Source organism: Homo sapiens, chromosome 6, assembly GCF_000001405.40.
Source record: "Homo sapiens chromosome 6, GRCh38.p14 Primary Assembly".
Classification (NCBI taxonomy): domain Eukaryota; kingdom Metazoa; phylum Chordata; class Mammalia; order Primates; family Hominidae; genus Homo; species Homo sapiens.
The window spans coordinates 51341334-51354277 of record NC_000006.12 but is presented as its reverse complement, the minus strand read 5'-3'; the positions used below and the strand labels follow the sequence as shown (position 1 = coordinate 51354277).

At 40.2% G+C, this 12944-nt stretch overlaps 2 annotated features.

Annotated features, from left to right (window-relative positions):
- Nucleotides 1310-1510: a silencer, noted in NCBI's record as "peak5851 fragment used in MPRA reporter construct". NCBI's record gives its function as "represses an SCP1 promoter by STARR-seq MPRAs in K562 erythroleukemia cells {active_cell/tissue: K562}" and the evidence as "EXISTENCE:reporter gene assay evidence [ECO:0000049][PMID:32103011]".
- Nucleotides 11440-11640: a silencer, noted in NCBI's record as "peak5850 fragment used in MPRA reporter construct". NCBI's record gives its function as "represses an SCP1 promoter by STARR-seq MPRAs in K562 erythroleukemia cells {active_cell/tissue: K562}" and the evidence as "EXISTENCE:reporter gene assay evidence [ECO:0000049][PMID:32103011]".

Here is a 12944-nt window from a genome sequence, read left to right as displayed (position 1 = left end):
GTAGCCTGTGACAAGGCCCTCTGCTTGTTGCTTTCAGTACACTAACTGATTGATCACACATAGTAGTTCCCAGGGTAAATAACAGCAACTCCATTTTACAAATGAGGAAACTGTGGCTTGGAGTAACATCCAAGATTTCCCCATGGTTAGAGTATGAATTCTGTCTAGGAAGGCCTGTGTGGACTTGATCTCCATGGTAGACTTCCTTCTTCTAGATCACTGGAACTTGTAATGCCGGGCAGGAGTTACCACAGGCTGCTCCCTCAGTGGTCTGTGAGAACCTGTCGTTGGTGTGTTGCAAAATGAAAAACATAAGCCAATGTTGTGAGTTTTTAAAAAACCTAAATGATTAAATTGAAGGGATCGTCCATTTGTATGAAGTTGTTCCCTTCTTCCTTTTGTGATGTCAAAGGTCATTTGGAAAATAATGGTGGCAGTTGATGGTAGCTGCTGTTACTTTTTTAGCTTTTATTTTCTAGAAAAGCAAACCTAAAATTGGTACTTCATGTCAGTTCCTCATGTATTGTTTTGACTTTCTTTCTTTTAAATGGCGCTTGAGATCCAAAATCTGGGAAGCATTAATTAAATAGATAATTTTGAGATGAGTCTTGGTATAGGGTGCAGTCATGTGAAAAATTCTGAAAATTTTCAATGGATTTTTAAAATGAGAAAAAAATTCTTGACAGACTGGCTTTAGCTTTATATCATTTTCAAACTCTTATTCATCCATATTTTTTTTGACAAATTGCACAAACCATAGGAAAGTGCCCCATTTTGTGACCTCCCTGGAACCTTACACTTCTTAGACATCTTGCGTAAATATAAAGATAAAAGCCAACATGAAGAATGAGGTCCACTTACATGAAAATAAGACAAAACTGTCAACAAAGTACACCAAAAGGAAAGAACTGTTACTCTAAGTTTATGTTTCTACTTTAAAGGATAAACACAACCCCATCCATTTCAGTTTGCTTTTCCTGATGTTATGAAGCTACAGTGCAGCTGTCAATTGCTTCCCACCTCGATGTCACAGCTCACTCAGTCTTCCCCTCTTTCCAAATATGTATGCATCAGGTGGGGTAGGGAGAGGAAGCTTAGTGTGTCAATAATTAAAAAGAAAAAAAAAACGAATCTCATTTCAGTGGCATTCACCAGATGAGTCTGCCCGGCAAATAATGAAGACAGAGTAGTGTTGCTAATGAAGGTGGTGAGTTTCCCATAAGAAAAGCCTGTGGCTCAGCCAGAGAGGCAAGAACCTGGACTCTTCTGCCCTAAAGTCTATTATGCCAATGGCATGTTTCCTTCTCCCAAACTCAAAGCTTAGAGATAGATCCTAACAAGAAGGACAAAGGATCACGTATATCATCTGAGTTGTGGTTATGCATTGTCTTAGTTAATGCCGGAGAAGTGGTGAAACTGGTGCTCCCAGGTCCTAACCCTGCTGAAGATGAGGCAATAACAGTGCAACTCAATCCAACATTTGTTAAATATCCCATGGGTTCAGCACACCTTGAGGCAAAGGCTCACAGCTAAGTAAGGGAAGAGACTTTGTTTATTTACCTTTGTATTTCCCACTCCTAGCATAGTTCCTGGTACCTGGTAGGTACTTAATACATTCTTAGTGGATAAGTACATGGAAGTGTGTAAAAGATATTCAGTAAATATGCATAGAATAAAGAACTAAATGTACTGTACTAGTTCAGTTTTGTTATTTGAGAATCAAGACTGAGTCAATAGAAGTGGCCCTTTTTTAAGAAAAATACATGATAATGTCATGATTACTTATAGCTCATTTTTTTTCTGTGTGTTTGTTCATCTGTCTCTGCAACTATCTATATATTTATCTATCTATTTTTGGGTCTTTTTCTCTGTATTTCTTTCTCAGTGGCTTAAAGGAGTCATGACAGAAAAGATTCAGAGGAAAAAAATGTCCAACTCACTGTTTCCTTTGTCATCCATTCCTTTAACTGTCTTGGCTTTTTCTGTTCCTTCCCTTTCTCTTCTAGCCCCTGTCTCCAGCCCCTTTAGACCTCTGGCAGGAAGGCCATGGCCTTGTAAGCTGTGAGAACTCGCTGTGATCCCTGTCATTTATTCTGACCCTGAGATTCTCTGTTAAACCACCAGGAACAGAATACCTGGAAGGTGGTAATGGTTGACTATGGAAGGCTTGAAAAATTGTTGGGCAGAAAAGGAAAACTCTAGGCAAATCACCCAAGTACTAAATGAGGCTTAGCCTCTCGTTTAAAGGACAAAGAGAGTCCTGTTTCATTCGTTACAGTGTCTTCAATTTTATTTTATTTTTTTCACATTCTGCTCTTTAGGCCGTTGGTCCAGATTGTTAAAGGAAAGAGGAGGTGCCACAGCTCAGCAACCTCTAATGTGAAAGTGAATGATTTTCAGAATTTTCCTTGTTATGCGGCACTCTTTACTGACTCTCAGGAGCACAGGCTGCCATAGCCTGCTCAGGCTTCTCACACCAACCTCCCATTGACCTATGACCATATCCATAAGCAACAGAAACCAGGCCACAAAACGGGCAGCCTCACTGCACAAACAGGCCAGCATCAGTGCCTCCTGTCAGCACAGAGACCACCCAAAGGCGAGACCCTTACTCAAGAGCCCTGTCCTCACTGCACAGTGGAGAAGATGTGGACCACCTCTGACTTTTTTGCTTGTTCCCAAGACTTCTTTTGGATACATCCTCTGTACCAAGAATAATTCCTTCCCTATAGCCCAAGCTCCACCCTCTCTGCAGGACCTGTCATGCCCCAAGTGAGCCTCTCACTTTGCCAACATCATGAGCAAAGCTTCCTTTTGACATTTGCCTTCTTTTGCCCTTTTTTTTTCTTTTTTGTGAGATGGAGTCTTGCTCTGTCACCCAGACTGAAGTGTAGTGGTGCGATCTCTGCCGACTGCAACCTCCACCTCCTGGGTTCAAGTGATTATCCTGCCTCAGCCTCCTGAGTAGCTGGGAATACAGGTGTACACTACCACGCCCTGCTAATTTTTTGTATTTTTAGTAGAGAGGGGGTTTCAGCATGTTGGCCAGGCTGGTCTCGAAATCCTGGCCTCAAGTGATCTACCCACATCGGACTCCCAAAGTGCTGGGATTACAGGCATGAACCACCGCACCCAGCCCCTGCCCATCCTTTAAGCCCTAGGCCAAACACCACCACCTTTATGACGCCTTTCTTGATTTTTACCAGTTGTAAATTCTTCCTCTTCTCCTTTCCTATAGCATTGTTCTCTGTGGGGCATCTGAACAATGACTTAGAAACATCCAACCTCAATTTTGTCATTTGTAAAACAAGGCACATGACATATACCAAAAAAGTTACTGTGAGGCTAAAGTAACATGTATAAGCTCCTTCTACAATCAATAATTCTTAGTTTAATTTATTCCTATATCACAATTTTATTTTCATTATAGATATTTGGGTATATATCTTATCTGTAACAAATTAAGCTCCCAGAGAGTATAGATCATCTTATTCACCTTTGTAAATGGCTTAGCGTAGTTCTTTATATACAGCTTCATTAAAGTATGTATATTGAGTGAATAATGTACCTCTGCCTCAGTTTTTCATCTGTAAAATGGGAATAAAAATAGCTTAGTTATTTTATAGCATTATGAAAAGGGTAAATTAAAATTCTACATGTATAATCATTTTGAAAAATAAAAAGACAAAATGCTAGCCAAGTATAAGATGTTGTTCAGTATATTATTAATATGTTTGGACAACTAGTGACAATATTACCCAGCTTATCCAGTAGAGGGCAACGACACACACAAGGATATTCATATTCTTTTTAAGACTTTGAAAACCACAAATTTAAAAGTGAGAAAAGCTTTTGGTATTATGCTAACAAAATAAAACAATCTCTCTGGATTCAGCTGATTTCTTTTCTTTTACTCTTTTATGTATACAATGTATATGTATATAAAGAACCTTAGACTCCATTGAGGGTTTCCAGTGTGTAGACCTGTGTTCTAAATTCCCTACTAGAATTTCCACTTGCCCATTTGCTAAGGGTGAGGAATTATTCCAGCTTAGCCAATGGGAAAAGAACACTGTTTTTACTGGTTTCATTACCTTGGTGCTGCGCAGAAGGATTTCCATAGCACTGGTGAGGGTGTGGCCCTGATTGGAGAGAGGCCTGGAAGGTTTCCATGCCAGCGGAGGGATTGGAGAAAGACTTGGAAAAACAATGCCGACCATTGTTTCCTTAGCCTGCTTTGGCTCCCCTCAGTCTGCTCTGTGAAGACACTGAATCCATTGACTAAGTCACTGACATTTTCCTAGCAGAGGGTAAGTCTCCAAGGGATAAGGGAAAGAGAGGGTGGTGGTGAATGAGCACCCGCAGCAGAGTATATCTACTGTGCAGGTGTTTGCTTTCCAGTTAATTCTGAACTTACTAAGTTTTAGGCAGAAAAACAGCCTGAAGATATGAGTAAGTGCATGGCATTTGCCCCTGAGAAACCCAAACTATAATATAAGACAGTTAGATTCCCAGGCAAGATGGCCGAATAGGAACAGCTCCAGTCTGCAGCTCCCAGCAAGACCAATGCAGAAGGCAGGTGGTTTCTGCATTTCCAACTGAGTACCCGGTTCATCTCTTTGGGACTGGTTAGGCAGTGGGTGCAGCCCACAGAGAGCGAGCAGAAACAGGGTGAGGTGTTGCCTCACCTGGGAAGCACAAGGAGCCAGGGAACTCCCTCCTCTAGCCAAGGGAAGCCATGAGGGACTATGCCATGATGTATGGTGCACTCTGGCCCATATACTACACTTTTCCCACAGTCTTCACAATCCATAGACCAGGAGATTCCCTTGGGTGCCTACACCACCAGGGCCCTGGGTTTCAAGCACAAAACTGGGCAGCCATTTGGGCAGACACTGAGCTAGCTGCAGGAGTTTTTTTTTCATACCCCAGTGGCGCCTGGAATGCCAGCAAGACAAAACCATTCACTCCCCCAGAAAGGGAGCTGAAGCCAGGAAGCCAAGCGGTCTTGCTCAGCAGATCACAACGCCATGAAGCCCAGCAAGCTAAGATCCACTGGCTTGAAGTACTCACTGCCAGCACAGCAGTCTGAAGTTGACCTGGATGCTCCAGCTTGGTGGGAGGAGGGGTGTCTGCCATTACTGAGGTTTAGGTAGGCAGTTTTCCCTTCACAGTGTAAACAAAGCTGCCAGGAAGTTTGGACTAGGTAGAGTCCACCACAGCACAGCAAAGCCACTGTAGCCAGATTGCCTCTCTAGATTCCCTCTCTCAGGGCAGGCCATCTCTCAAAGAAGGGCAGCAGCCTCAGTCAGTGGCTTATAGATAAAACTCCCATCTCCCTGGGACAGAGCACCTGGGGAAAGGGGCAGCAATAGGTGCAGCTTCAGCAGACATAAGTGTTCCTGCCTGACAGCTCTGAAGAGAGCAGTGGACCTCCCAGCACAGCACTCAAGCTCTGCTAAGAGACAGACTGCCTCCTCAAGTGGGTCCCTGACCCCCGTGCCTCCTGACTGGGAGACACTTCCCAGCAGGGGTCGACAGACACCTCATACAGGAGAGCTCCAACTGGTATCTGGTGGGTGCCCCTCTGGGACAAAGCTTCGAGAGGAAGGAGGGGGCAGCAATTTTTGCTGTTCTGCAGCCTCAGCTGGTGATACCCAGGCAAACAAGTTCTGGAGTGGACCTCCAGCAAACTCCAGCAGACCTGCAGAAGAGGGGTCTCACTGTTAAAAGCAAAATGAACAAACAGAAAGCAAAAGCATCAACATAAACAAAAAGGACAACCACATAAAAACTCCATCCAAAGGTCACCAAAAGCAAAGACCAAAGGTAGATAAATCCACAAAGATGAGGAAGAACCAATGCAAAAAGGCTGAAAATTCCAAAAACCAGAATGCCTCTTATCCTCCAAAGGATCAGAATTCCTCGCCAGCAAGGGAACAAAACTGGATGGAGAATGAGTTTGATGAATTGACAGGAGTAGGCTTCAGAAGGTGGATAATAACAAATTCCTCCAAGCTAAAGGAGCATGTTTTAACCCAATGCAAGGGAACTAAGAACCTTGATAAAAGGTTAGAGGAATTGCTGACTGGAATAACCAGTTTGGAGAAGAACATAAATGACCTGATGGAGCTGAGAAACAGCACTAGAACTTCGTGAAGCATACACAAGTATCAGTAGCCAAATCAATCAGGCAGTGGAAAGGATATCAGAGATTGAAGATCAACGTAATGAAATAAAGCGTGAAGACAAGATTAGAGAAAAAAGAATAAAAAGGAAGAAACAAAGCCTCCAAGAAATATGGGACCATGTGAAAAGACCAAACTAACGCTTTATTGGTGTGCCTGAAATTGACGGGAGAATGGAACCAAGTTGGAAAACACTCATCAGGATACCTTCCCAACCTAGCAAGAAAGGCCAACATTCAAATTCAGGAAATACAGAGAACACCACAAAGATACTCCTCTAGGAGAGCAACCCCAAGACAAATAATCATCAGATTCACCAAGGTTGAAATGAAGAAAAAAATGTTAGGGGCAGCCAGAGAGAAAGGAGGGTTACCCACAAAGGGAAGCCCATCAGACTAACAGTGATCTCTCTACAGAAACCCTAAAAGCCAGAAGAGAGTGGGGGTCAATATTCAACATTCTTAAAGGAAAGAATTTTCAACCCAGAATTTCACATCTAGCCAAACTAAGCTTTATAAGTGAAGGAGAAATAAAATCCTTTACAGACAAACAAATGCTAAGGGATTTTATCACCACCAGGCCTGCCTTACAAGAGCTCCTCAAGGAAACACTAAATATGGAAAGGAAAATCCAGTACCAGCCACTGCCAAAACAAGCCAAAATGTAAAGACCATCAGCACTATGAAGAAACTGCATCACTAATGGGCAAAAAAACAAAACAAAACAAAAAAAACAAAAAAACAGCTAGCATCATAATGACAAGATCAAATTCACACATAACAATATTAACTTTAAATGTAAATGGGCTAAATGCCCCAATTAAAAGGCACAGACTGGCAAATTGGATAAAGAGTCATGACCGATCAGTGTGCTGTATTCAGGAGATCCATCTCAAGTGCAAAGACATGCATAGACTCAAAATAAAAGGATGGAGGAAGATTTACCAAGCAAATGGAAAGCAAAAAACAACAACAACAACAACAAAAAGCAGGGGTTGCAGTCCTAGTCTCTGATGAACAGACTTTGAACGAACAAAGATAAATAACGACAAAGAAGGACATTACCTAATGGTAAAGGGATCAAATCAACAAGAAGAGCTAACTATCCTAAATATATATGCACCCAATACAGGAGCACCCAGGTTCATAAAGCAAGTTCTTAGAGACCTACAAGAGACATAGACTCCCACAAAACAATAGTGGGAGAGTTTAACACCCCACCATCAGTATTAGACAGATCAATGAAACAGAAAATTAACAAGGATATTCAGGACTTCAACTCAGCTCTGGACCAAGTGAACCTAATAGTCATCTACAGAGCTCTCCACCCCAAATCAACAGAATATACATACTTCTCAGCACCACATAACACTCATTCTAAAATCGACCACATAATTGGAAGTAAAACACTCATCAGCAAATGCAAAAGAACAGAAATCATAACAAACAGTCTCTCAGACCACAGTGCAATCAAATTAGAACTCAGGATTAAGAAACTTACTCAAAACCCAACAACTACATTGAAACTGAACAACCTGCTCTTGGATGACTACTGAGTAATTAACGAAATGAAGGCAGAGATAAATAAGTTCTTTAAAACCAATGAGAACAAAGACACAACGTACCAGAATCTCTGGGACACAGCTAAAGTGTTTAACAGGGAAATGTATAGCACTAAATGCCCAGAGGGGAAAGTGAGACAAGTCTACAATCGAGACCCTAACATTGCAATTAAAAGAACTAGAGATGCAAGAGCAAACAAATTCAAAAGCTAGCAGAAGACAAGAAATAACTAAGATCAGAGCAGAACTGAAGGAGATAGAGACATGAAAACCCTTCAAAAAATCAATGAATCCAGGAGCTGGTTTTTTGAAAAGATTAACAGAAGAGATAGACTACTACCCAGACTAATAAAGAAGAAAAGAGAGAAGAATCAAATAGACACAACAAAAAATGATAAAGGGGAGATCACCACTGATCCCACAGAAATACAAACTATCATCAGAGAATACTATAAACACCTCTACGCAAATAAACTAGAAAATCTAGAAGAAATGGATAAATTCCTGGACACATACACTCTCCCAAGACTAAACCAGGAAGCAGTCAAATCCCTGAATAGACCAATAGCAAGTTCTGAAATTGAGGCAGTAATTAATAGCCTACCAACCAAAACAAAGCCTAGGACCAAATGGATTCACAGCCTAATTCTACCAGAGGTACAAAGAGGAGCTGGTACCATTCTTCCTGAAACTATTCTGAAGAATAGAAAAAGAGGGACTCCTCCCTAACTCATTTTATGAGGCTAGCATCATCCTGATACCAAAACCTGGCAGAGATGCAACCAACAAAGAAAATTTCAGGCCAATATCCCTGACGAACATTGATGCAAAAATCCTCAGTAAAATACTGGCACACAAAATCCAGCAGCATATTAAAAAGCTTATCCACCACAATCAAGTCAGCTTCATCCCTGGGATGCAAGGCTGGTTCAACCTATACAAATCAATAAACGTAATCCATCATATAAAAAGAACCAATGACAAAAACCACATGATTATCTCAATAGATGCAGAAAAGGCCTTCAATAAAATTCAACACCCCTTCATGCTAAACACACTCAATAAACTAGGTACTGATAGAACATATTTCAAAATAATAAGAGCTATTTATGACAAACCCACAGCCAATATCACACTTAATGGACAAAAGCTATAAGCATTCCCTTTGAAAACCAGTACAAGACAAGGATGCCCTGTCTCACCACTCTTATTTAACACAGTATTGGAAGTTCTGGCCGGGGCAATCAGGCAAGTGAAAGAAGTTAACGGTATTTAAATAGGAAGAGAGGAAATCAAATTATGTCTGTTTGAAGATGACATGATTGTATATTTAGAAAACCCCCCATCGTCTCAGCCAAAAACTCCTGAAGCTGATAAGCAACTTCAGCAAAGTCTCTGCAATCAATGTGCAAAAATCACACACATTCCTATACACCAATAAGAGACAAACAGAGAGCCAAATCATGAGCAAACTCCCATTCACAATTGCTACAAAGAGAATAAAATACCTAGGAATACACCTTACAAGGGATGTGAAAGACCTCTTCAAGGAGAACTACAAATCACTGCTCAAGGATATAAGAGAGGACACCAGCAAATGGGAAAACATTCCATGCTCATGAATAGGAAGAATCAATATCGTGAAAATAGCCATACTGCCCAAAGTAATTTGTAGATTCAATGCTATCCCCATCAAGCTACCATTGACTTTTTTTTACAGAATTAGAAAAAACTACTTTAAATTTCATATGGAACAAAGAAAGAGCCCATATAGTCAAGACAATCCTAAGCAAAAAGAATATAGATGGAGGCATCATGCTACCTGACTTCAAACTATGCTACAAGGCTACAGTAACCAAAACAGCATGGTACTGGTACCAAAACAGACATGCAGACCAATGGAACAGAACAGAAGCCTCAGAAATAACACCACACTTCTACAACCATCTGATCTTTGACAAACTTGACAAAAACAAGCAATGGGGAAAGGATTCCCTATTTAATAAATGGTTTTGGGAAAACTGGCTAGTCATACGCAGAAAACTGAAACTGGACTCCTTCCTTACACCTTATAAAAAAATTAACTGAAGATAGATTAAAGACTTAAATGTAAGAACTAAAGCTATAAAAACCAGAGGAGAAAACCTAAGCAATACCATTCAGGGCATAGGCATGGGCAAAGACTTCATGACTAAAACACAAAAAACAATGGCAACAAAAGCCAAAATTGACAAATGGGATCTAATTATATTAAAGAGCTTCTGCACAGCAAAAGGAACTATCATCAGAGTGAACATGCAACCTACAAAATGAGAGAAAATGTTTGCAATCTATCCATCTAACAAAGGGCTAATATCCAGAATCTACAGGGAACTTAAACAAATTTACAAGAAAAAAATAACCCCATCAAAAAGTGGGCAAAGGATATGAACAGACACCTCTCAAAAGAAGACATTTATGTGGCCAAGAAACATATGAAAAAAAGCTTATCATCACTGTTCATTAGAGAAATGCAAATCAAAACCACTATGAGATACCATCTCACACCAGTTAGAATGGCAATCATTAAAAGTCAGGAAACAACAGATGCTGGAGAGGATGTGGAGAAATAGGAACACTTTTACACTGTTGGTGGGAGTGTAAATTAGTTCAACCATTGTGAAAAACAGTGTGGCACGATTCCTCAAGGATCTAGAAACAGAAATAACATTTGACCCAGCAATCCCATTACTGGGTACATACCCAAATGATTATAAATCATTCTACTATAAAGACACATGCACACATATGTTTATTGCACGACTATTCACAATAGCAAAGACTTGGAACCAACCCAAATGCCCATCACTGTTAGACTGGATAAAGACAATGTGGCACATATACACTATGGGATACTATGCAGCCATAAAAAAGAATGAGCTCATGTCCTTTGCAGGGACATGGATGAAGCTGGAACCCATCATTCTCAGCAAAATAACACAGGAACAGAAAACCAAACACCACATATTCTCACTCGTAAGTGGGAGTTGAACAATGAGAACATATGGGCACACAGAGGGGAACATCACACACCAGGGCCTGTCGGGTGTGTGGGGGGCTAGAGGAGGGATAGCATTAGGAGAAATACCAAATGTAGATGATGGGTTGATGGGTGCAGCAAACCACCATGGCACATGTATACCTATGTAACAATCCTGCACGTTCTGTAGATGTATCCCAGAACTTAATATATATATAATATATATTTTATTTATATTTTTATTTATATTATATATATATATATATATATATATATATATATATATATATATATATATAAAGACAGTCAAAGATAACATAGATTAACACAATTTGAATAATACATCAGGTGCTCCCTGTGTGTCAGGCACTGGGTTAGGGAAGAACAGATGATAGAAAGATGATTCAAATATGACATGTGAGTCTTACCTCCAAGGGATCTACAGTCTAGACCAGAAAAGGAGTACAACATGAATGCAGCCCAAAATATATAGCTACAAATATGGCCATAATAGAAATAACTGCACTCAGGCTACAGTGCTTAATTTCAAACACACAAATTTGTTCCAAGGATTGTTTAACACAGGGAACAATGTAGGCATAAATGAATTTTGCATCTGTAAGGAACACTAGATGAACATAGAAAACTGAATCCAGATTGAATTGAGTAGCATGTGGGGTTGCAAAAACTCACACATGCACACATCTGAACATGCATCAGCTTCCTCAACTCACTTCGTGGCTTATGAAACACACCTATCCTCGTGCAGTGTTTCAACTTTCCATCCGATTTCAGATAACCCTCCTTCCATCTCTTTATTATAACTTATGAGCTGAACCTGTCAGATGCCCACTTCCACAAGCCAATTTTGAGTCCTTTTCAAGTTTAAGTGCCATATTTACTGTAATATTAGGTCAATGCAAAAGTGATTGTGGTTTTTGTGAGTATAATATTTATGTATTTCTTAACCATTTCATATGTGTCAAACTCCGTTGTCGTTTTTATTAGATTTCTATCCTCTTCATGTTAATGTGTCACTAACAAAGTTTTTAAATGTTGTGCCCCAATCCCATTTTTCCCGTAAGTTCTGTGGTTTTTACTGCTTGATTTTTTATAACACAGTGGTTTTGAGCAACACATAATGTGGTTATTTTTGTAGAATGAACTGTACTGTAAGCCCCTGGAGTGCATAGAGCAAGGAGCTCCTTGCCCTGGCAAGGGGAGAAGGCTTCAGAAATGTCTTCCCCAAGAGGCAAACATGGATAATAATGGAAATATGAAAGAACATGAGTATCTTCTTATATTTTCCTTCTTTCTAACTTGCCTTAAGACTAGACAACAAAAAGAGGACTTAAAATGGCTTGTAAAAATGCATTTATTTTATTTTATTTATTTATTTTGAGACAGGATTTCCCTCTGTTGCCCTGGATGGCCTGCAGTGGCATGATCTCAGCTTACTGCAACCTCCACCTTCCGGGTTCAAGAGATTCTCCTGCCTCAGCCTCCTGAGTAGCTGGGATTACAGGTGTGCACCACCATGCCGGGCTAATTTTTGTACTTTTAGTAGAGACAGGGTTTTATCATGTTGGCCAGGCTAGTCTCAAACTCCTGACCCTAAGTGATCTGTCCGCCTCGGCCTCCCAAATTCCTGGGATTAAAGGTGTGAGCCACCGCACCCTGCCAAAAAATGGATTTAATATAGCAAGGTGCAAAACACATGAAAAACAACTTAAAAATTAGGCAGAGGGAAATAAAAAGATCAAAATGAATGAATCTGGTGTTAAGCAAGTTTACAAAAGACCTGCTTCAAGTTCTATACACATATTTGCCAGAGATGAGCCACACATTTATCTCTAAGTTTCTGAGCCTTCAATGCTTGACTCTTTATTGATTTGATTTGATCCAGAGAGAGTTTTGCAAAGTCTTTACATTATTAAAATTTAGTTTATATGTTTCTTCTTGTTTATTTTCAATGTGGCTACTAGAAAACTTTACAGTATATGTGTACCTTACATCTGTGGCTCTCATTCTATTTCTTTTGAATATTTGTGGTCTAAGAGAATGTATGGGCTGCCCATGATTGTATGATCCTCTATAAAAGCCTATTTCTGAACAATGGTGAGTTCAAATGATGCTCCCCGACACATTTCTCTGATGAGTACTTCTACGTGCAGGG